Raw genomic sequence first — 24,630 nt, 5'->3', positions numbered from 1 at the left:
TTTGTTTTGAGACAGGGTCTCACTTTGTCGCCCAGGATGGAGTACAGTGGCACAATCTCAGCCCACTGCAGCCTCCACTTTCCAGGCTCAAGGCTTACATAGTTTAAATTGAATGTACATCCTAACACATTTTTGTGTGTGTCCTAAACTAACATAACTGTATATTTCTATTTTTCTTGAGTAAATGTTATTACAGTGATGTGTGTATAAGAAAAAACTGTGTCTTTCCCACACGGCTTAGACTAAAAAACATTTATAGGCACAGATCATACCCTTTCCTTCCTTTGCTCTCTGCCTTTAACAGTGTTCTTCTGCTTACAACTATGCAAACTCCCTTCACTTATCTCAAGTGAAATCAAGTGAGGAATTCACAAATAATAACTGCCTAAGGTTCTCTTCTTAGTACTCTAGGAAGAATTTTTTCTACCTACCTCATCTTTGCTGGTGTACTCCACTATTTCTGTGCACAGGTTGCTGCATTTGATGGTTCCCAGGTTCTGCTGGTTGCTCTTTCGATTACAGGAATCTTTGTAGAGCATATACGGGGTGCCTGTTTCCGTCTGAGACTCAATGATGGCATACCAAAGCTGCTGAGCTTTTACAACTTTGCGGACACGACCTTGTTTCTCATAACTGAAAGGCACAGATAATATTATTTAATATATATTCCCTAAAAAAACTTTATTGTAGACAACTTGAAGACATTAAAATATAAAGTTATGAAAACTCTTAAATTTTCTCTAAGTTTTGCTAAAGAAAAAAAGGAATATGATATTTATTTTACTCTAGCTAAAGCCATAGGGGAAAATGAGGCAGTTTTAGGTGCCTTCAGATGATCGCAATCCCACTAAACCAATAATATCTTTCATAATAAAAAGGAGTAAAAACTAAGGAAGCCAAATCTCTTAAGACTGTGCTAAATTTTTTTCCTTTTTTTTTTTTTGAGACGGAGTTTCGTTCTATCACCCAGGCTGGAGTGCAGTGGCACAATCTCAGCTCACTGCAACCTCCACCTCCCAGGTTCAAGCAATTCTCCTACCTCAGCCTCCCAAGTAGCTGGGACTACAGGTGTGCACCACCACGCCCAGCTAATTTTTGTATTTTTACTAGAGACAGGGTTTCACCATGTTGGCCAGGCTGGTCTTGAACTCCTGACCTCAAATGATCCACCTGCCTCATCTTCCCAAAGTGCTGAGACTACAGATGTGAGCCACTGCACCTGACCTATTTAATTTTAATAAACTACTGACATATGTGTCCTAGTCACTCATGATTCCTTTATGCAACATAAAGCATAGCTTATCAAAAGTACTATATGACAGAGCAAAATAATAACCCTACTAGTCATCTTAAATTTTAAAAGGATCAATTAAAAATCCCAAGAACCTATTTATACATTCCAAAGTTTTAAGAAAGAAGAAGACACAACTCAATTTTGGTGAAGAGTCAGGAAGCAAATCTGACCAAAATTATTAGTCACTTTTTCTCTTAGATGCTTCAAAAGATTCTTGACAAGTACTTTTGATATTTGGACCCCTGAAATAAGAGAAACCATGATTAAAACATTATTGTTTTCTTTCATATTTTTCCCATACCTTGCATATAGTTTCTCAAATTCCTCTCCCCAAACCTCATCCAGACCAGGACACTCATTTGGACACATCAAAGACCAGTCCTAAAAAGGAAAGGACAAAATCACTCATAAGAAACTTCAAATAGCCAACCATAATCCATTAGAAACACTGCAAGCATAAGGTGACTTTTACAAGCTCTCTTGGAAATTTGCTGTAGAAATAATCATTTTCAGGTTCAGGCCCAAACATCTAGGTCTGCCTGTTTATACATGACCTTTTAAGCATTTAGGTCACAAAGCATCTACTTTAGAGAATAGAAATATAAGAAGACAAGCACGGCATCTCTTAACTTGTTCAGAATGCCTTCTGTGGCATCACACACATATGGGCTCTTCCTAAGCATGACTTAAGATGACTAAAAAAGAGAAAGCTCATGTGAATCAAGTTGCTATTACCAACAAGTACCTATCTCTCACCTGATTAGTCTCCACTCGTTTCATGAAGAGATCCGGAATCCAAAGAGCAAAGAAAAGATCTCTGGCACGCTGCTCTTCCTTTCCTGTGTTCTTCTTTAAATCAAGGAATTCAAAGATGTCTAAATGCCAAGGCTCCAGGTAAATAGCAAATGCCCCAGGACGCTAGTGGTAAATAAATCATAATTCTCTTCAGAATAAAAATGAAACAAAGAAACATCATGTCTCCCAAAGCACTTTTATAGTATCTCCTTTGATTTTCACTACAATGAATTAAATAACATAAATAAAAGTATTATAAAAGTGTAAGTTTTCCATATATAATTGTAAAAGTAATATTTTACAATTCTATGAGTAAAAACGAACGAATGATATAAACAAAATGTGAAACAAGATTAACTTTTCTAAAGTGACATGATGAACTACAGATGGAGCCTCCTCTTCAGCAACAGCCCAGCTCTCTTTACACCACATGACATGTACATAAAGCCCAAAGGAAGTTGCTTTGACAGTATAAGCCATGCTCTTATTGTAGGTCAAAAAGTTGATCTGTCTTATCAAGGTCCCCAAAGTCCATCAGAGAGAAATTCATAAACCAACAAGCGATTAGTGTGCCTACAGTCACAAAAGGCAGACTCTAGTTGTAAACCATCCTGTTGATAAAATAAGGTAAACAACCCAATTCTCTCAACTTTACTGTTTCTTCTATCAATTAGGGAGAGTTTTTGTTTGTTTGTTCTGTTTTGTTTGAGACAAGTTCTAGCTCTACCGCCCAGGCTGGAGTGCAGTGGTATAATCTCGGCTCACTGCAACCTCCTGCCTACCGGGCTCAAGCCATCCTCCCACCTCAGCCTCCAGAGAAGCTGAAACTACAGGCGTTCGCCACCACACCCGGTTAATTTTTGTATTTTTTGTGGAGATGGGGTTGCGTCATGTTGAACTCGTGAGCTTGAACTCGTGGTCTTGAACTTGTGAGCTTACACGATCAGCCCACCTCAGCCTCCCAAAGTGCTGGGATTACTGGCAGGAGCCACTGCATCCAGCCAATTAGGGAGAGTTTTGTTATTCCAGGTAGTTTTTGTTTTTGTTTTAAGAACAACCTAGGCGAGGTGCAGTGGCTAACACCCATAATCCCAACACTTTGGGAGGCCAAGGCAGGTAGATTGCTTGAGCCTAGGAGTTTGAGATCAGCCTAGGCAAGAAAGTGAGACCCCCGCCTCTACAAAAAATATAAAAATTAGCTGGGTGTGGTGGCACAGGCCTATAGTCTGAGCTACATGGGAGGGCTGAGGCAGAAGAATCACTTAAGTCCAGGAGGTCAAGGCTACGGTGAGCCAAGATCGCACCATTGCACTCCAGCCTGGGTGATAAGAGAGAGATAAAAAAAAAAACGAAAGAAAAACCTAGAGCACATGTTACAACCCCATTTCAAGTAACAAATTTATATGAATTACAACTTGAGAAATTCTTTGCAAACGAACTATCATGTAAGAAAGCTGAATAGATCAGTGGCTGTCTAGAGCCAGGGATAAAGTATGTGTGGGTAGGGGTGACAGGGGTGACTGAATGTAAAGGTATATGAGGGAGAAAAGATTTTGGGGTAATGGAAATGTTCTACCTCTTTATCAATGTGGTGATTACACAAGTGTATACATTTGTCAAAACCCATCAAACTGTACATTTAAAGTATATGCATATTAAAATAATTATACCTCCTCAAATTGATTTTACAAGTAAAAAAAAGGTAATTAGAAACTACACATAAATGAACCATCTTAAGTGTATATGACTAAATCACCTTTAGTTCTGATTTCCAGTACTTTCAATTCATGGAGCATACCTTGTTCCCACCTTGATCCACATATCGAGCTGTGTTGTTATATACTCTCAGCATCGGTACAAGGCCATTGGAATTGCCATTAGTCTAAAAGAGAGACCATGATAGAAATGACAGAGGGCACTCAGCAAAGAAAAGAAAAAAATGGCCCCATTCTTTTATCAAAAAAGATGCCTAATTTCTAGGTAGCAATCTATGAAGTTTTACCTGCTCTCCATCTCTACTTCTGCTTTGGAAAAATGCCCAAATAAAATCAACAAAATGTTGAATAAATTACAATTATGTACTAAGTTACCTCATGGCATTTCTAATTTATAATGAGATGTAACAATTACAGGCCAAAGGGATCCAAAATCAAGGTAGCTAAATTTAAACTCTACATCTTCTAAAGGTCGTTATATAAAGATACACTTTGGGTAGAGTAAAAAAGAATATAAACACTACTACAATGCCTTTTTCCCAAAAGAAATCAAGGCAATTTACAATAAGAATTATATGCGATAGCTATATCAGGGCAATAAATAAGGTAAAAGGAGATTCTCAGCAATAAGTGGACTCTAGAATGATGTTAAGAAAATAGAGACTCCTACGACTAGAAGATACTTCATCAAATTCTTTAACCCTTCTGATCCCAACACAAGCCTTTAAACAGTCTAGAAAGATAAGTGAGCAATAGCTCACTCTACCACTGTGTAAAGTGCTGTATATATCACAGCACCTCCAAAACACAACATAATGGAATAATTTCCTTCTGGAACTTTATTCTACAGAGTTAGATATTTTCTTCACCTTACAGAAAAGGAAACAAACTCAGACACAAAATAACTAACTCTAGGCCACATTACTAGTTAAGTAGTGGAGCTAGGATTTAAATCCAAAACTATTATCTTGACTCCCATTGAACAGTAAACTAACAAAGGGCTAAAGTTTACATCATAAAGTGTCAATGCATAAATCTTGAATCCTGGCTCTACCACATATTAAGTGATTGATCTCAGAAAGTAACAACTTTCTAAGTCTCAATTTCCTCACTTGTAAAATTAGACAATGGTACCTTTATTCACAAGGTTATTTTAAGGAATAAAATTCCTGGCATGAGTCTATAATCATAGTTACCTCATAGCGTTGTAGTAAGGGTCAAATGAGTACCTCATGTAAAACATTTATAACAAACTTAACATACAGTAAGCAATCAATCAATGATAACTGCTCTTATTACTGCTAAAATAAGCCAGAATTCTAAAACCTGAGCTAAAAAGGATTCTAGAGATTATCTAGTCAAATCTAAATATCTAATATCATAGATGAAAATGAAGCCAGAAGTAAAATGACTCACTCCAAGTCACATAGCCATTTAGTAATTTAACAGAGACCCAGGACTCCCAAAAAATAGCATATGCCCTCTCAACCATGAATCTGTTTGCTTTTAGACTTGAATCCCCCTTTAAAAGTCAAATGGCAGAAACCTACCCCAGCAATGTAGCTGCCAGTAGCCCGAATACAACTCACAGCAACACCAATTCCTCCAGCAGACTTAGAAATCAATGCACATTGCTTTAGAGTGTCATAAATGCCTTCAATGCTGTCATCTTTCATACTCAGAAGAAAACAGCTACGGGGGAAAAAATGTCTCAACTTAGAGCAAGGAAATGAAGCAGAGTCACAAAAATGATTACTCAACACAAAGACACTAAGGCAAAAAAAAAAAAAAGAGTTGAAGTTTAGAAAGTTCCTAAATGATTTTCAAAGAAGAAAACCCACTTTACTGTACATGACACAATAAAACATATCGAAATATCATTTTAAAATCATCTTGCTGCCTCCCCTAGATAGTAAGTAAATAAGCCTAGTAGGAAGTCTTATAGATAAGTCTAAAATATTGGCTTACATTTTCACCAGACTGCAAACGTGCTATTTTCACATTTTCTCATGCATATTCATAAACATACATCACCGTCTTTTCAGGTTGTTAGTAAGCCAAGAAAAACAAACATTTATGAAAATAATCTCTCCAATTGTCAACCAATTCTTTGATACGTCTACCAAAATCATAGCTCCTTTACAGTCTTTTTAAAGACAACCCCTTTACCTCACTTTGGATCTCATCCTGCTCCCCACCTCAGGAACCTTACTCTATCAATAATCTCTTCACTGCCTTGAATATTCAATCATGCAAATGGATTCTATCTATTGACTAGGTGTTTATATAAATATTCAGACATTCAGAAAAATATAGAGAATGATGTAACAAATACTCTGTACTTGCCACCTACCTCAAAAAATTAGACACCACAAATATACCCTCATTGCAATCCTCTAACATTTTCAAGCATTTCCTTTATGACATTTTTACATGTTATACACTTAGAATTTTTCTGGTTGCATATCTGTTTATCATTCTGCAACTTGTTTTAATTCAATATTGCTTTACAGAAATTAATCCTTTTGATATATGTAAACAAACTTTATTTTCATTGCTATAAGGTATTCTATTGTATAAATATACCAAAACATTTGTCCCATGTGCCTGTTGATGAACATCTGGATTATTTCCAATTCATTTGCAATTCCAAACAATGCTGCTATAAAAATTCTTGAACACAACACCTTGTGTTTATCTCTAAGCATTTCTGTAGAATATGAACCTAGGAGAGGAACTGCTGGGTCAAAAGATATACACGTTTCACTTTACTAAAGATTCTCCAAAGTGGATGGACAAATCTATTTCTAGCAATGTATGAGATTTCCTTGTGCTCCACATTCTTATCAGTGCTTGGAATTGTCAGCCTTTTCATTTTTATCAAATATATATATACATAATTTTCATTTTCCTATTGCACAGTTTAACATCTCAGACGTTTATTAGCCAATCAAGTTTCTTCTTCCATGCATTATTTGTTTATAGCCCTTGCCCATGTTTCTATTTGGCTTTCTGTTTTTCTTTTCTTTTCTTTTCTTTTTTTTTGAGACAGGGTTTAACTCTGTTACCCAGGCTGGAGTGCAGTGGCATGATCATAGCTCACAGCAGCTTTGACCTCCTGGGCTCGAGCGATCCTCCCACCTCAGCCTTTCAAGTAGCTAAATCTACAGGTGTGCACCACCACGCCTGGCTAATTTTCTACTTTTGTAGAGACAGGCTCTCATTATGTTGCCCAGGCTGGTTTCAAATTCTGCCCTCAAGCCAGCCTTTGCTTTGGCCTCCCAGAGTGTTGGAATTACAGGCAGAAGCCACTGCACCTGGCCTTGTTTTTCTTATAATCTCTCAATAGTTAACATGTTGCAAATATCTTCTCCCAGTCTGAAACTTGTTTTTTTGGGTGTTTTTGTTGTTGTTGTTTTTGAGACAGAGTCTCACTCTTTTGCCCAGGCTGCAGTACAGTGGCATGATCTTGGCTCACTGCAAGCTCCGTCTCCCAGGTTCAAATGATTCTCATGCCTCAGCTTCCTGAGTAGCTGGGATTATGGGCATACGCCACCACGCCTGGCTAATAGTTGTATTTTTAGTAAAGACAGGGTTTCGCCATGTTGGCCAGGCTGGTCTCGAACTCCTGACCTCAGGTAATCCACCCACCTTGGCCTCCCAAAGTGTGAAACTTGTTATTTGACTTCGTTTTTGGTTCACAGTGATTGGACTCCGGTGAAGACTCCAAGATGGCGATCGCCACCTCGGACACCCTGACTCAGCATTTCCGGGTTCACCTTTCCTGTTCCTGCCACCCCGACTAACGCACATGCCCACTAGGGCGTGTCACACTCAGAAGCGTGAAACTCAACCGACCCTGCCCCTACCCTGACCACTCCTCACCCAGCATCCATAAAAGCACGCTGCACCTTTGGCACAGCGAGACTTCCCTGGCCCTCCCCCTGCGGACCAGTGAACCTCGCCCGAGAGCTCAATAAAGAAGATTTTTGCCCTCTTTGTCTCGCCTCTCGGCCTTATTGATCCACGGTGCCCTTCCATTGCCTTTCACACAGAAGTTTTTAATTGTAGTCAATTTTTCCAATGTTTTGCTCTATGGTGTTTTGCTCTGAGGTCATATTATATATTCTCCTATCGAGATATAAGTGGAAGTAGGGCCAGGCGCAGTGGCTCACACCTCTAATCCCAGCACTTTGGGAGGCCCAGGCAGGTGGATCACCTGAGGTCAGGAGTTCGAGACCAGCCTGGCCAACATGGACAAACCCCATCTGTACTAAAAATACAAAAATTAGCTGGGTGTGGTGGCGCGTGCCTGTAATCCCAGCTACTCAGGAGGCTGAGGCAGGAGAATTGCTTGAACCCGGGAGGCAGAGGTTGCAGTAAGCCAAAATCGTGCCACTGCACTCCAGCCTCAGTGACAAGAGCGAAACTCCATCTCAAAAAAAAAGGTAAGTGGAGGTATCAAGAGTCACAATGTCTGCAACTCACTTTTTTTTTTTTTTTTGGAGTGCTCCCTCCAGAGGTTTTGAGGGAGAATCTGTTCCTTGCTTTGTCCAGCTTTTAGTGGCTAATTGCTCTCCTTTGTGGCCACATGACTCCAATTTCTCCCTCCATCTTTACATCACTTTCTCCCCTTCTGTGAGTCGTTATCTCCCTCAGCCTCTCTCTTACAAGGATACTTTTGATTGGATTAAGGGCCCACCCACATAATTCAAGATAATCTCTCCATGTCAAAATCCTTATCATCTCTACAAAGACCACTTTCCTTATCAGGTAACATTTACAGGTTCCAGGAATTTCGACCTGACATTTTTGGGCAGTCTTTTGCTCTTTCACATGAATTTTAGAATCAGTATGTTGAGATTTTGCCTAGAATTACTTTGAATCTATATTTTAACTTGGGAAAAACTGACATTTTTATAAAATTGAATCTATTCCATTTATTTATTATTTAATGTCCTTTAATCATGTTTTAGAGAAATTTCTAAAAAACTTAAAAAACCGGGCATGGTAGCTCATGCCTGTAATCCCAGCACTTCGGGAGGCCAAGGAAGACGGATCACTCAAGGTCAGGAGTTTGAGATCAGCCTGGCCAACATGGTGAAACCCCGTCTGTATTAAAAATACAAAAATTAGCTGGGTGTGGTGGTGCACGCCTGTAATCCCAACTATTTGTAAAGCTGAGGCAGGAGAATCACTTGGACCTGGGAGGTGCAGGCTGCAGTAAGCCAAGATCATGCCACTGCACTCCAGCCTGGGCAAAAGAGTGAGACTCTGTCTTAAAAACAAACAAAAAAAGTCAACGATGGACTACACATACGACAGTGGTCATCCAGTAATCGAAGGTTAATTTATTATTGAAGAAAATATTTTTAAAATAAATTTAGTGTGCACAATGTTTGTACAGTCTACAGTCGTCAGTAATGTACTAGGCCTTCATATTCCTTTTTTTTTTTTTTTTAAGATAGAGTTTCGCTCCTGTTGCCCAGGCTGGAGTGTAGTGGTGCGATGTTGGCTCACTGCAACCTCCGCCTTCCAGGTTCAAGCAATTCTCCTGCCTCAGCCTCCCAAGTAGTGGATTACAGGCGCCTGCCACCATACCCAGCTAATTTTTGTATTTTTAGTAGAGACAGGGTTTCACCATGTTGGCCCTGTTGGTCTTGAACTCCTGACCTCGTGATCCACCTGCCTCAGCCTCCCAAAGTGCTGAGATTACAGGCATGACCCACCACGCCCAGCCAGGCCTTCATATTCATTCACCACTCACTCACTAACTCACCCATAGCAATTTTCAGTCCTACAAGCTCTATTCATGATAACTGTCCTATACAGATGTATCATTTTGTATCTTTTTTTTTATCTTTTCTTTCTTTTTTGGAGACGGAGTCTCGCTCTGTTGCCCAGGCTGGAGTGCAGTGGCGCGATCTTGGCTCACTGCAACCTCTGCCTCCCAGGTTCAAGCAATTCTCCTGTCTCAGCCTCCTGAGTCGCTGGGACTACAGGTGCACACTGCTATGCCTGGCTAGTTTTTTTATATCTATATTTTTAGTACAGACAGGGTTTCACCATGTTGCCCAGGCTGGTTTCGAACTCCTGAGCTCAGGCAATCCGCCCGCCTCGGCCTCCCAACATGCTAGGATTACAGGCGTGAGCCACCACGCCTGGCCCATTTTTTATCTTTTATAGGGTACTTTTACTGTGATATGTTTGGATACACAAATACTTACCATGGTAATACAAAGGCCTACAGTATTCAGTACAGTAACATGCTACACAGGTTTGTAACCTATGAGCAGCAACAGGCCATGCCATATATCCTATGTGTGTAGTAGGCTATACAATCTAGGCTTACCTAAGTATACTGTATAATGTTTGCACAAGGAAATCACCTTACAACACATTTCTCAGAATATATCCCCATCGTTAAGTAATGCATGGCTGTAGGTTAAGACTTAATTTTCTAACAGCTAAAGTACAGAAACATAACTGATTGATGTATATTGAACCTATATCCAGATATTTTGCTGAAATCTTTTATTTCTAATAATGTGTCTGCAGATGCTCTTGAGTTTCCTATGTAAAAATCATTTCTTCAAATCATTACAGTTTTGTTCCCTGATTTCCAATCTTTTCTTTTTCTTATTTTACAATGCTGGCTCAGGCCTCCACTACCATGCTGAAAAAAGAGACGATACATCTAGGTTTTTATTGGGTATCTTTTGCCAAATTAAGGAAGTTATTTTCTATATCAATTTTGCTAAAGTGTTTATTATGAAAGAGCATTAAACTGCATAAAATGTTAATGCAATGAATTACATTAATGTATTTTTTGATGTTACCATGTTCTTGAATTCCTGAAACAAACCAACTTGATAATGGCATATTTTTTTTTTTAATGTATTACCAGACCGTTAGTGTTCCTTTTCTCAACAAATGGCATCATCATTAATCCTGTTACTTACTGTATCCATAAATGCAAGAACCATTCTTGACCCATATTCTGTCAATTTGACAGCCTAAATATCTTTTATATATATTTTTATCTTAATCAAGGTATCACTGTGTTGCCCAGGCTACAGTGCAGTGGCATAATCATGGCTCACGGCAGCCTTGAACTTCTGACCTCAAGTGATCTTCCCACCTCAGCCTTCCAAAGTGTTGGAATTACAGATGTGAGCCACCATGCCTGGCCCTAAATATCTTTTGATCTATCTGCTTCTGTCAATTTCTACTTTCACCTCCCTAATCTAGACTACCACAATTTCTTATATAAACTGCTATAAGAGTCCCCTAACTAGTTCTTGGCACTTACCTTCTTTTTAAAACAACCTTATTGAAATATAATTCACACCAAGCGTGGTGGCTCATGCCTACAATCCCAGCACTTTGGGAGGCCAAGGCGGGTGGATCACCTGAGGTCAGGAGTTTAAGACCAGCCTGACCAACATGGTGAAACCCCATCTCTACTAAAAATACAAAAATTGGCTGGGTGTGGTGGCGGGCACCTGTAATCCCAGCTACTCAGGAGGCTGAGGCAAGAGAATTGCTTGTACCAAGGAGGCACAGGTTGCAGTGAGCCAAGATCGCAACACTGCGCTCCAGCCTGGGTGACAGAGTGAGACTTTGTCTCAACAACAAAAAAAAAAAGGAATATAATTCACAAATAATATAATTCCCCATTTAAAGTGTACTACTCAATGGCTTTTAATATACTCATAGACTTGTGTAACCATCACCACAATCCAATCAATTTTAGAACATTTTTGTTATAAGCATTTGCCTTTTCTCCAATTCATTTACCACATTACAGTCAGAGATCTTTCCAGAATCTAAATCTCATTTAATCAGAGCAGGCAGCTACTAAAAGGTCATTAAATTATTTTTTATGTGATGAACTAACTGCCCAGTTTCTTCAGGTCAAGGCGTATTTCCCTACTCAAAACACCTACCTAGAAAGTTGTGGGCGGTTGGTACCAGCATTGAAGAGAGTGGGCGAAGCATGAGTAAACCACCTCTCAGAAAGAAGATTATATGTTTCAATTGCTGCATCAATGTCTTCTTTGTGGATCCCAACAGATACTCTCATCAACATATGTTGTGGTCTTTCAGCCACTATAGACAAAAGAGGAGTTTTCACATGATGAGACGTCAGAAAAAGTAGGTTGAGATACGTATTTGAATTTCAGAAAAGGACACCAAAAGGAAACTAGAAAAACTTTATACTAATAAACAGGACAATTATCCACAAACTAAACCTAAAGTCCAAAATGTTATCTAGAGTCTAAGCAAGAATATTAAGACTTATAGCTCAAAGCTATACATTCAATATAATGAGTAGAAAATGTAACAGACAAACATGTTCATTTCTCACCTTTTCCATTGATCTTCAACAAATAAGACCGCTCTAGCGTCTAGAAAGAGAGAAACAACAAAAAATTTTCAGAGCACCGTTTTTAAAGACGCAGTGGATATATCATCCACAATAAGGCAATCTCTTTAAATCTTCGCCGTTTCTATAAAATTTCAAATGAAAAGAATAGCACATTTACTCTTCCTAGCTTCATCTGGAACATTATCATTGGCACTTTTTTTTTTTTTTTTGAGACAGAGTCTCGCTCTGTCGCCCAGGCTGGGGTGCAGTGGCGCAATCTCAGCTCACTGCAAGCTCTGCCTCCCGGGTTCATGCCATTCTCCTGCCTCAGGCTACCGAGTAGCTGGGACTACAGGCGCCCACCACCAGGCCCAGCTAATTTTTTTTTTCTATTTTTAGTAGAGACAGGGTTTCGTCATGTTAGCCAGAATTATCATTGGCACTTTTTTTAAAAAAAACTTTTTAAAACGTTTTGTAGAGACATGGTCTCCCTGTGTTGCCCAGGCTGGTGTCAAACTCCTAAGCTCAAGGAATCCTCCCATCTCAGCCTCCTCACTGGCACTTTTGTTTCGGCAGAGACTGCATGAAAATTTCTGGAAAAAGCCAGCTCTACACACATTAACAGAAGTTGTAGTATTCATCATCATCATCAACTTCACAACAGCTAACACTTAAAAAGCGCCTGTAACAGACTAGGCACGGATCTAAGCAACATATACACTCGTTACACTCATTTAATCCCCTGAAGACTCCTCATGGGGATTAAATGAGCAACATATACATCAGGGATTCCTCAGCGGATTAAATGAGTGTATATGTTGTTTAGAGCAGTGCCTGGTCTGTTACAGGCACTTTTTTTTTTTTTTTTTTTTGAGACAGAGTCTCACTCTGTCACCCAGGCTGGAGTGCAGTGCCACGATCTTGGCTCACTGCAACCTCCGTCTCCTGAGTATAAGCAGTTCTCCTGCCTCAGCCCCCCAAGTAGCTGGAATTACAGGCATGCACCACCATGCCCAGCTAATTTTTGTATTTTTTAGTAGAGAAGGCATTTCGCCACGTGGCCCAGGCTGGTCTCGAACTCCTGACCTCGAGTGATCAGCCCGCCTCGGCTTCCTAAAGTGCTGGGATTACAGGCGTAAGCCACCATGCCCAGCCTGTTATAGGCACTTTAAATTGAAATTTAAACTAAATTGGCCGCAGTGGCTCATGCCTGTAATCCCAGGACTTTGGGAGGCCAAGGTGGGTGGATCACCTGAGGTCAGGAGTTCAAGACCAGACTGGCCAACATGGTGAAACTCCGTCTCTACTAAAAATACAAACATTAGCTGGGCATGGTGGTGTGTGCCTGTAGTCCCAGTCACTCAGGAGGCTGAGGCAGGAGAACTGCTTATACTCAGGAGACAGAGGTTGAAGTGAGCCAAGATCGCGCCACTGCACTCCAGCCTAGTCAACACAGTGAGACACAGACTCAAAAAAAAAATTTTTTTTTAATTAAATTTGTTGTTGAAATTTTATATTCTCCCCATTCTAAAATGGAGGAAACAAGCACAGAGAGATTAAATAACTTGCTAATAAGAAATAGAGCAGAGACTGGAATTCAGGTGGACACTGACATTCATGTTCTCAGTCACTACACTATACTATACTGCCTATCAACGCAAAAATACTTAGAATGTTATGAAATACTTATGGTAATTTATCTGCATAACTCCTCAGGTAATCCAGAAGTAATATGTGGAAAATTCAAAAACTGCAAATAGATAAGCTACCTTTGCCTTAATTCAAACCACCACTGCTACCTTAACCCCACTAATTCCCCAGGTCCATCTCAACTCCAAACAACTTATGGCCTTGATAACTGTCACCAAAACATAAACAAAATCCTTTATTTCATGATTTAAGTATAAATTCCCACATACTTGAAACCCATTATTTACCTTAAAGCCGAAGTAATTGTAAGAGAAATCTCGGTCATAGATAATAGCAGAATTCAGGCGCTGATAGGGGTGAAAAAGAACCCATAATTAAATTAAAATAATTACTTATTTTCACAAAATCTCTTATCTCTCGGCCCTGACTCCAGAACTAAAATCAACACAGGATACAATGAGATAACACTAAGCATTATTACTGTAGAATAGAAGTCCATCTAACATTCTAAAAAAAAGAAACAATACATATAAATTAAGTATCCTAATTAGGTTTAAAAACATGTATATGAAAACACTAGAAGATAATACATAAATATATGTTGTGAGATTAAATGTGATTTTCCAAACTTTTACTATTATGTTTATAGTATGTTTTGAAAGAGGGAAAAAACATGAGCATAAATGGGACTATATTATCATCCTTAAACATGTTTTTAGATTGGCTATTAATCCAAAAGTATTGGTACCACATATTTACTAATATATATATATATTTATTTTAAAAGCTAGCCTACTTCAAACTGTATATAACAGTATATATAATAAACAATGACAGGAAGCAGGCTTATGTTAATTCTGAGGCTCTTCAAAATCTATAGTCCTTTAACAAGTTTCCAACAAAGAACTATTGTAACAGTAAGATTTTAGAGCATAACTGGTCCTTGTTACAGAGTTTTTGTAGGCTACAAAGTCATTCAGAGGAAAATAAAAGCAATAACGTACAAATAATCATTTTGGAGAGAAAAAAAAGGAGCCAGGTTTTCAAAATACTGACAGTGTTTCTACATAATGATCCATATCTAAGGACTAGAAAAACCTATACGAAAGCTTGCTTTCCTTTTCTCTTAAAATTTTAAGGTCATCTTTGTTGCCAAAGGCAGGTATGGGCCCAGTGTGAATATTAGAGAACTGAAATACTTGACTATCAATAGGTATATTTTTAGACACAGGTTTTGCTGTTGCTGCTGCTGTATTTTTGTCTTCAACTTGTCTTCGAGATTACACAAATTAACAACACACAAACAACTCAGTTTTCTCCTAGTCTCTTTAACATCAGATACATGTTTAGAGAGATAGTCAATTAATCATTCTTTTTTTTTTTTTTTTTTTTTGAGACTGAGTCTCACTCTGTTGCCCAGGCTGGAGTGCAGTGGCCCAATCTCGGCTCACTGCAAGCTCCGCCTCCCGGGTTCACGCCATTCTCTAGCCTCAGCCTCCTGAGTAGCTGGGACTACAGGCACCAGCTCCCACACCTGGCTAATTTTTTGTATTTTTAGTAGAGACGGGGTTTCACCGTGTTAGCCAGGATGGTCTGGATCTCCTGACCCCGTGATCCACCCGCCTCAGCCTCTCAAAGTGCTGGGATTACAGGCGTGAGCTACCGCGCCCGGCCTAATCATTATATTACCTAAAGTTAAAACTGGTCTCTAATCTGTCCAGATATACACGGTAAATAAATCCTGTGTGTAAAAGGGCTGGCTAGGCTACATCTTTTCCCTTCTGTCCTCTGGCATCTAGTTAAGAAACAGGTTCAAACACAAGTGGATAATTTTTAAGTTGCTGAGCATGAGCTTGTAAAATTTTACCTGAGCAACCTTTTTGGGAGTCAGTTTGGCAATGCCTATCAAAATTTTGAATTCATATACACATTGGCTCAGCAATTCTACTGAAGGGATTTATCTTACAGATATATTCATCTATGAGCAAAACACCTACCATACAAGAATATTCACTGCAGTGAAAAGATGAAAAACAAATATTGATCACTAAAGGAATTCTTACACATACATACAATGACAATATATCTACAAAATGGAACGTTATACAACTGTTATAAAAAAGGGTAAATTCATAAAGGCTGATATAGAACAAACAAGATATACTTACAAGTGAAGAAAGTATCAATGAAAACTGTATGCACAGTACAGTACCACTGAGAAGAAAAATATGTATGTACACACATACACATGTATGCACACACGTATGTACAAAATAGCTCTGGAAAAATACATTTTAAAATGATAAAGTTGTTTCTAGAGAGGAAAATCAGGAATCAGGGTAGGAAACAGAATTAGTATTTACCTGTATCTTTTGCAGTGTTTAAATTTTCTAAAATGTGTGCATTATTAAAAAAGACTCTCAAAAAATTTCCACCAGATAAGTGTTATACATACATCTTTATTGGCCAGAACAATATCCAATGTTGACTTGGCCACCATGGGAGAGTGTTTGCCATTATGTGGATTTATGTAGTTATAGAGGTCTTCCATCACATCTAAAAAATACAACAAAAAATGAAAATATATCAAGACCACTTAACAGCTAATTCAATCTTTAGGTAATAGTTGAAAACAGTGGTTCTCAACCCTTTTTGTCATCTCAACCCACCTCAATGCCTAGCATATAAAGTGCTCAATAAACACATATATGTTGAAGAAATATGTAATGCCTCATTTAAGGAAACAATCTTCTAGAGTTAAAGTGATTATAAGTTCTTGTAGTTTAAAATAGATTCCTGGGCCGGGCGCGGTGGCTCACGCCTGTAATCCCAGGACTTTGGGAGGCCGAGGCGGGTGGATCACGAGGTCAGGAGATTGAGACCATCCTGGCTAACACGGTGAAACCCGTCTCTACTAAAAATACAAAAAATTAGCCGGGCGTGGTGATGGGAGCCTGTAGTCCCAACTACTCGGGAGGCTGAGGCAGGAGAATCACTTGAACCCGGGAGGCGGAGGTTGCAGTGAGCCGAAATCACACCATTGCACTCCAGCCTAGGCGATAAGAGCAAAACTTTATCTCAAAAAAAATAAAAAAATTTTAAAAAGAGAAAATGAAAAAAAGAACAAAGATCCATCAACCTTTTTATGCAGCAGATAGGCAGCATGGAGAAATACGAAATTGTAGTCTGCTCTTTCCCACTAATTTACATATTTGCTATTTATTTATTTATTTATTTATTTATGAGACGGAGTCTCACTCTGTTGCCCAGGCAGGAGTGCAGTGGCACAGTCTCAGCTCACTGCAACCTCCGCCTCCCGGGTTCAAGCAATTCTCCTGCCTCAGCCTCCCCAGTAGCTGGGATTACAGGCCCCCACCACCACGCCCAGCTAATTTTTTGTATTTTTAGTAGAGAAAGGGTTTCGCCATGTTGGCCAGGCTGGTCTCAAACTCCTGACCTCAGCGATCCACCTGCCTCAGCCTCCCAAAGCACTGGGATTACAGGCGTGAGCCACTGCACCTAGTCTATTTTATAATTTTAGATTTTTCTTAAAACGTAGAGATGGGGTTTCGCCACATTGCCCAGGCTGGTCTCAAACTCCTGGACTCAAGCGATTTGCCTGCCTTGGCCTCCCAAATTGCTGGGATTCGAGGTGTAAGCCACCCCATCTAGCCATATTTGCTTCTTTAAACAGTCAAGATTTATTTCTAGTACCCTTATTACTTTTCTGAGAGTACTAAATTTTTACTTTTTCACCCCAGACTTACCACTGAACACTTTCTTTGTTTCTTTGTGCAAGTTAGAGACAGCGATCCTGGCTGCCAGGATAGCATAGTCAGGGTGCTTAGTAGTCAAGGTTGCAGCTGTTTCAGCAGCCAAAGTATCTAGTTCCACTGTGGTGACCCCACTGTACAAGCCTTGGATTACTTTCATGGTGATCTGAGCCTACAAAAATAAAACCAAGAATTACTTGAGCTTTCCCAAGAAACAATAGCTTCCTTAAAAGAGTAATTAAGAAAACCATCATGGCCAGGTGTGGTAGTACATGCCTATAGTCCCAGCTACTCAGTGGCTGAGGTGAGGAGATCACTTAAGCTTAGCAGTTCACGACACTATTAAAAAAAAAAGCCAGGCGTTGTGGCTCACACCCATAATCACAGCACTTTGGGAAGCCAATGTGGGAGAATGGCTTGAGTCCAGGAGTTCGAGACCAGCCTGGGCAAGCTAGGAAGACCACCCTGCCCCGCCCCCAATCTCCACAGATAATAAAAAAAATTAGCTGGGTGTGGTGGTACACACCTGTGATCCCAGCTACTCGGGAAGCTGAGGCTGCAATGAGCTGTGATTATGCCACTGCACTCCAGCCTGGGTGGCAGAGTGAGACCCTGTCTCAAAAAAAAAAAAAAAAAAAAGGAAAGAAAAAAGAAAACAATCAAATTCACATCACAATAAAAACGACAGGTTGGGCACAGTGGCTCACACCTGTAATCCCAACACTTTGGGACGCCAAGGTAGGAGGCTCGCTTGAGCCCAGGAGTTTGGGACAAACCTGAGCAATATAATGAGACCCCATCCCTACTAAAAATAAAAAAATTAGCCAGTCATGGTGGTAAGTGACTGTGGTTGCAGCTACAGGGTAAGCTGAGGTGGGAGGATTGCTTGTGCTGAGGAAGTCAAGACTGCACTGAGCTATCTATGATCATGGCACTGCACTCCAGCCTGGGCGACACAATGAGACCCTGTCTCAAACAAAGAACAAGACAACTTACTTCTCTGAAAATTTATCTTTCAGAATGGTGGGCAGTGGGAAACTTAGTAATGAGAATGCATAATCCAGCAGAACTATCAGAAAATGTATACTACATATAAAATGAAAGTGTCATTAAAAAAAATCTAAGTATAGCCTTTAAATCGATTAGTCTCACAGGGAAATAGCTGAAAACATACTAATGATTCTATATTTCCCTATTTTTCATTCAAATTCTCCCAACAGACTGATTCTATATAAGGGTTTCCCCATTTTTCATTCAGATTCTCCCTAAGTGATCAGGGCTCCAGCTCCATACTTACTTTTCCCAAATTCCACATAAGGTAAGTACAGAAAAGCAAATGAATCAAACTTTAATCAGGCCAATTAAAGGAGACAGAAGTATAAATTAGGTCTGGGGCTGAATTATGATAATTTAATGACAACTTTCTTTAGCACTTCACAAATTACAAAGTGCAACCTCCGCCCCCGAGGTTCAAATGATTCTCAACCAAAGTTGATAAGTAATTATCAACTTTGATAATCTCTGACATTTCACAATCACTTTGTGAGATGATTATTACTATACCTATTTTACATGAAGAACCTGAGGCTCAGGTTACTGAGACTTGCCCAAGGTTATATTATTATACAAGTCTTCTGGCCCCAATCCCATTAAACCTCACTGCATTTCACTGTTTTCAAGGCCACATTATAAGTTCCAGTTTTTAAGACAGGTAATGCACAGGGTATTAGCATACATTTTTAAGAAAAACAAATTCTAAGTTGTGAGTGGTTTATTTATTGAATCTTTAAGAAACCGCTTAATCCAACAGAAAATAAATGTGTTTCCCAGCTGAACAATGCATACTCCCCTCAAAAAAAGACACATACGTGTGTAACTATTTTAACAGTCTGCAATCTATTCTAATTATAATATAGCTAAGCCCAAGTTGCTCCTGATCACTTTCTTCCCAGATCCAGCAGATAAGGTGTGTTCAGTATAAGAGCAGTGAAGTCTTCTAAATAGTTTCTAGAGCAATAAGGCAAACAATTAGAACTCAGAATAAAATACCATCTGTGTGCTAACTGTGCCAGATCTAACAGCACACAGTTTTTCTTTTTTTCTTTTTGAGACAGGGTCTCATTCTGTGGCCTGTGCTGGAGTACAGTGGCACAATCTCAGCTCACAGCAACCTCAACCTCCAGGGCTCAAGCGATCCTCCCACCACCAAGTAGCTGGGACTACTGGTATGCGCCACCACACCCAACCAATTTTTTTTTTTTTTTTTTTTTTGTAGAAACAGGGTTGAGGGCAGGCACAGTGTGGCTCACACCTGTAATCCCAGCACTTTGGGAGGCCAAGGCGGACAGATAACTTGAGGTCAGGAGTTCAAGACGAGCCTGGCCAACATAGCAAAACCCTGTCTCTACTAAAAATACAAAAAAAAAAAAAAAAAAATAGCGTGGTGGCACATGCCTGTAATCCCAGCTGAGGGAGGCTGAGGCACAAGAATCATTTGATCCCCAGGGGTGGAGGCTGCAGTGGGCCAAGATTGAGCCACTGCACCTGGGCAGTTTCACCATGTTGCCCAGGCTGGTCTCAAACTCCTGAGCCCAAGCAATCTGCCTACCTCAGTCTCCCAAAGTGCTGGGATTACAGATGTGCACCGACAGTTTTTCAACAGAATCTACCCTAGGAAGTTTGAGGATGCTGCAACATTCTTGCGCTCTAAAATGTACTACTGCATGAGGCAATAGAACATGTAGGAGTCAAGAGACCTAGGTGCTTCTCCCTACACTCCCACTAACTTAAGTCACTCCCCTCTCTCTTTGGAACTTTCTTATCTATAAACCAAAGATGAAATGGGATGGACTCTTAAGTTCATTCCAACTCTAACATTCTACTATTCTAATTATTGCCTAAGTCCTCAATATAAAAGAGAATTTACAATAAACATATTTTCAAGATACATAAAATCATTTTCTCTTGACCAAACTTACTTTGGTCAAGTGGCTAATTAGATACATGTCAAGCACTGAGGATATCACAAGAATAAGATACACAGCCCATCCTCAATTCTAGGGGAGGACAAAGATCCATAATTAATTTCCATACTATATGATTAAAGCTATGAGATGAGCACAGGTTTTACGGATAAGATACCTAAGATACCTTAGCAGTGCGGATAAGATACCTAAATAAGGAGACGGAAATATGGGTGGATTTGAAAAAAAGAGTTCTTAGAGATTCTCATTTAAGGAAGATCATTTTAGAAGTCAGGTGGAAGACGAGTTTGAAGAGGGTAAGATTAGAGGAAGTCCAGGACACTGCAGAGACCACAGAAAACAGTCCAGATAACTGATGATGAGAGTCTAGAATACAGAAGTTATAAAGGATAAGGAGAAAAGCAGAGCAACTGGTTTATGAATAGTTTGTTCTTGACTTAAATATTGTCCATGAAATCTACTTTATATTACTTAAATCTTTTTACATAAATAACAAAAAACAAATTTTAAACCAGTCCCTACCTAAATAACCACAATTCCAAAACAAGCTTTACTCTAGGCTTCCCTTTTTTTTTTTTTTTTGAGAGGGAGTCTCGCTCTGTCGCCCAGGCTGGAGTGCAGTGGCACGATCTCGGCTCACTGCAACCTCTGCCTCCCAGGTTCAAGTGATTCTCCTGCCTCCCAAGTAGCTGGGATTACAGGCGCCCACCACCAGGCCCGGCTAATTTTTGCATTTTTAGTAGAGACGGGGTTTCACCATGTTGGCCAGGCTGGTCTTGAACTCCTGACCTCAGGTGATCTGCCCACCTCAGCCTCCCAAAGTGCTGGGATTACAGGCGTGAGCCACGGCGCCTGGCCTAGGCTTTTCCACTAATGAATAAAACAATTTACTCAAGGAAATATCTGATATTAAATGTTAATATCAAATTTTCCTCTTTACTCACATTCATAGTTCTCTGAAAAGTGAGAACTCACAGGACAGAACCAAAATTAAGGAAAAAAAAATGTTTTAAGCAATGAATTCAAATTTTATATCGAAGGGCATAGCCAGAATACCAAAGTATATCAGGTGAATGAAGGTCCAGGGATAAGAGACAAATGGAAAGAAACACATGAAAGAAGGAACCCAAGATAAAAACCATATTTACTTACAGGATCAACAAAATCCATATTGAGTCCATAACAAAGCTTCTGGATTCGAGATGTAATTTTGTCAAACATGACTCGTTCTTGGCGGCCATCTAAAGAATCAAATCATGTTAGCAATTATTAAATTCATGTTAGCAATTATTAAGACTACAATGTCAAAGAATCAAATGTAATTAACATGTAAATTGACCAACATGAAGTGCTATTTCACAGAAAAGATTGAGGCCCCCTCAAAAGATTCATGAAGAGATTGTCTTCTCTGATGTCACCTTCAAAGAGTATGAATTCTATACAGACAGACGTTTACGGATAATTTCCTAAATTTTTCCCCCATCCCACATGGCAGCCAAAATTACCCTTTAAAAGTTAAACTCAGAATCATATCATTACCTCCTTCAAAACTCCTAATAGTGGCTTATGATCTCCAGAATAAAAGTCAAAATTGTTATAACAATCCACAGGCCAGGCCTAGTGGCTCACACCTGTAATCCCAGCACTTTGGGAGGCCAAGGGAGCGGGGGGGGGTGTGGATCACTGGAGGTCAGGAGTTCGAGATCAGCCTGATCAATATGGTGAAACCCCGTCTCTACTAAAAATACAAAAAATTAGCTGGGCATGGTGGCAGGGGCCTATAATCCCAGCTATTCGGGAGGCTAAGGCAGGAGAATTGTTTGAACCCAGGAGGCGGAGGTTGCAGTGAGCTGAGATCACGCCATTGCATTCCAGCCTGGACAACAAGAATGAAACTCCAACTAAAAAAAAAAAAAAATCCACAGAATCCTATACCACTTGTCCTGTGCACCCACTTCCCAATTTCACCTCCAACTCTCCCACCTTCCTTCCTATTGTACCTTGACAACTTGGCCTTCTTGCTATATATCTCCTTTAGGTCTTTTGCTCAATGTCATCACCTTCTCAATGTGGCTTTCCCTGATGATTCCATTTTAAATTGCAATGCCCCAAATAGGACCCTTGCTCTTCTTATCCCCCTTCCCCTTCTGTGCTTTTTCTCCATTGCACTTACCCCATCTGACATACTATATATTTTACCTAATATTTTTCATGATTTTGGACTTAGATTATATCTTTGTCCTTCTAGACAAAAAAGTCTTACTACTCTTAGTTTAACCTCAAATAGTAGCTCATCCGACCTTTATTTATTCTTACCAGGAATAGTGAATATATCCAACCACCAAACAGCCTTAACCTTAGACAAGCCACAAAACACAATCAGTCATTTCACAGATCTTCATTTGTAGAAAGGGGTTAATTATTATATCTATTTTACTTGCCTAATCAGTTTACTGTGACAATAAAATTAGATAAGGTAAAAAGTGCTTTTGTTGTAACAACTTTGGCATAGTTACAACTATACCTCGTTATAAAATAAAGCTGCTCCTATGGGGGAAAAAAAAATCACAGTATGTGATACACAATAGGCACTCAATAAATGTTAGTGTCTCACACTGATTTAGTTTTTGTCTCTTTTGTGCACCTACAATCCATTGTAACTATAGGCTGAGTATCCTTAATCCAAAATTCCAAAATCCAAAACACTCCAAAATCCAAAACTTTTTCAATGCCAACACAATGTTCAAAGAAAATGTTCCTTGGACCATTTCAGATTTTGGATTTTCTGATTAGGGATGCCCAACCAGTAAGTATAATGCGAATATTCCAAAATCTGAAACAAATCCAAAATCCGAAACACTTCTGGGCCCAAGCATTTTGAATAAGGGATACTCAACCTGAAGTAACCAATAAGAAACATGCTAAATATGTTTACATTTATTTGGCCCTCTGATTCACATCTGTATTCTCAAATTTAGTGCCTAGAACAAGGCAAGTTCTCAAACATTTGATGAAGAATAAATGAACAATAAGACATCACTATTAACCCATTATCACTAGAACAAGTTGCTTTTTCTTCTACACTGATATGTTAGCCCCTCTCTTTCTGATCACCATTGTGATAATTTTCTCATCAGGCTCACATCTGCAGCATTTAACTCTGAAATGGGGTAAATTAACTGGCTGGCACTGGGACTGAAACCTCAGTGCTCTAGCAATTGGATAACTAAGCAGGCAGGTAACTGCAAAGCAACATTAGCGTTCTGCAATTATACATGCAGTGGGGGGGGAAAGCAACTTAGCAAAAAGAAAATTCTACAACTGCCAGAAGTTCTGAAGTCAATCAGGAAACTGACAAAAAAAAAAAAGTGCATTGGTAATTATCTTAACTCACACTTGAAAATAGGAGGCAGACTAAAGATCTAAAGGTCCAATGACACACAGTTCTCTATTCTGTCATTCCACTTGGTTAGTTTTTCAAGCCAGATGTTGATTTTATCACATCACTAATCCCTGCTTCTCACTGCCTACATTATCCTCTTCTCTCAAGCAAAGCCTTTCTTAGTTTGGCCCCAGATCTCTTCAACTGTTCCCTGTGAAATATAAGTCCCAAGAGGGCTTCCCATTCCCATATCCACATCATTGCTTATACCTTACTCTGCCTAAAGGTTCCTCTTCCACCTTTCCATACATCTAACTCCTACTCACCCTCCAAATCTCACACCTCCATAAAACCTGCCTCAACCACTTTTAACTCACACTGACCTTTTCCTCTTTTAAAATCCTCTAGCCAGCAGGGCATGGTGGCTCAGCCTGTATTCCTAGCACTTTGGGAGGCCAAAGCAGGCGGATCACCTGAGGTCAGGAGTTCGAGACCAGTCTAGCCAATATGGTGAAACCCCATCTCTACTAAAAATACAAAAAAAAAAAAAAAAAAATTAGCTGGGTATGCTGTAATCCCAGCTACTCGGGAGGCTGAGGCAGAATTGCCTGAACCTGGGAAGCAGAGGTTGCAGTAAGCCAAGATCACACCACTGCACTCCAGCCT

At 39.6% G+C, this 24,630-nt stretch overlaps 1 protein-coding gene across 4 annotated transcripts in view; it reads right to left on the bottom strand.

Moving 5' to 3' along the window:
* The window catches only part of RRM1 (ribonucleotide reductase catalytic subunit M1), a 44,248-nt gene that overhangs the window by 15,117 nt on the left and 4,501 nt on the right, over positions 1-24,630 (bottom strand). Inside the window, exons 2-12 of one of the 4 annotated variants that reach the window (NM_001033.5) lie at positions 21,735-21,823; positions 17,593-17,770; positions 16,281-16,381; positions 14,113-14,172; positions 12,176-12,215; positions 11,754-11,916; positions 5,355-5,496; positions 3,888-3,971; positions 2,051-2,212; positions 1,596-1,675; positions 432-633 (exon numbers count right to left, since the gene is read on the bottom strand). In NM_001033.5, the coding sequence (NP_001024.1) occupies positions 432-633; positions 1,596-1,675; positions 2,051-2,212; positions 3,888-3,971; positions 5,355-5,496; positions 11,754-11,916; positions 12,176-12,215; positions 14,113-14,172; positions 16,281-16,381; positions 17,593-17,770; positions 21,735-21,823 (1,301 nt within the window). Of the gene's footprint in view, positions 1-431; positions 634-1,595; positions 1,676-2,050; positions 2,213-3,845; positions 3,972-5,354; positions 5,497-7,455; positions 7,739-11,753; positions 11,917-12,175; positions 12,216-14,112; positions 14,173-16,280; positions 16,382-17,592; positions 17,771-21,734; positions 21,824-24,630 lie in introns of those variants that run through there. The other 3 variants (NM_001318064.1, NM_001318065.1, NM_001330193.1) reach the window with 3 other exon arrangements.

The sequence above is a fragment of the Homo sapiens genome, chromosome 11 (genome assembly GCF_000001405.40).
Source record: "Homo sapiens chromosome 11, GRCh38.p14 Primary Assembly".
Lineage (NCBI taxonomy): Eukaryota > Metazoa > Chordata > Mammalia > Primates > Hominidae > Homo > Homo sapiens.
The sequence above is the reverse complement of the archived record's forward strand: the minus strand, read 5'-3'. Positions and strand labels throughout refer to the sequence as shown.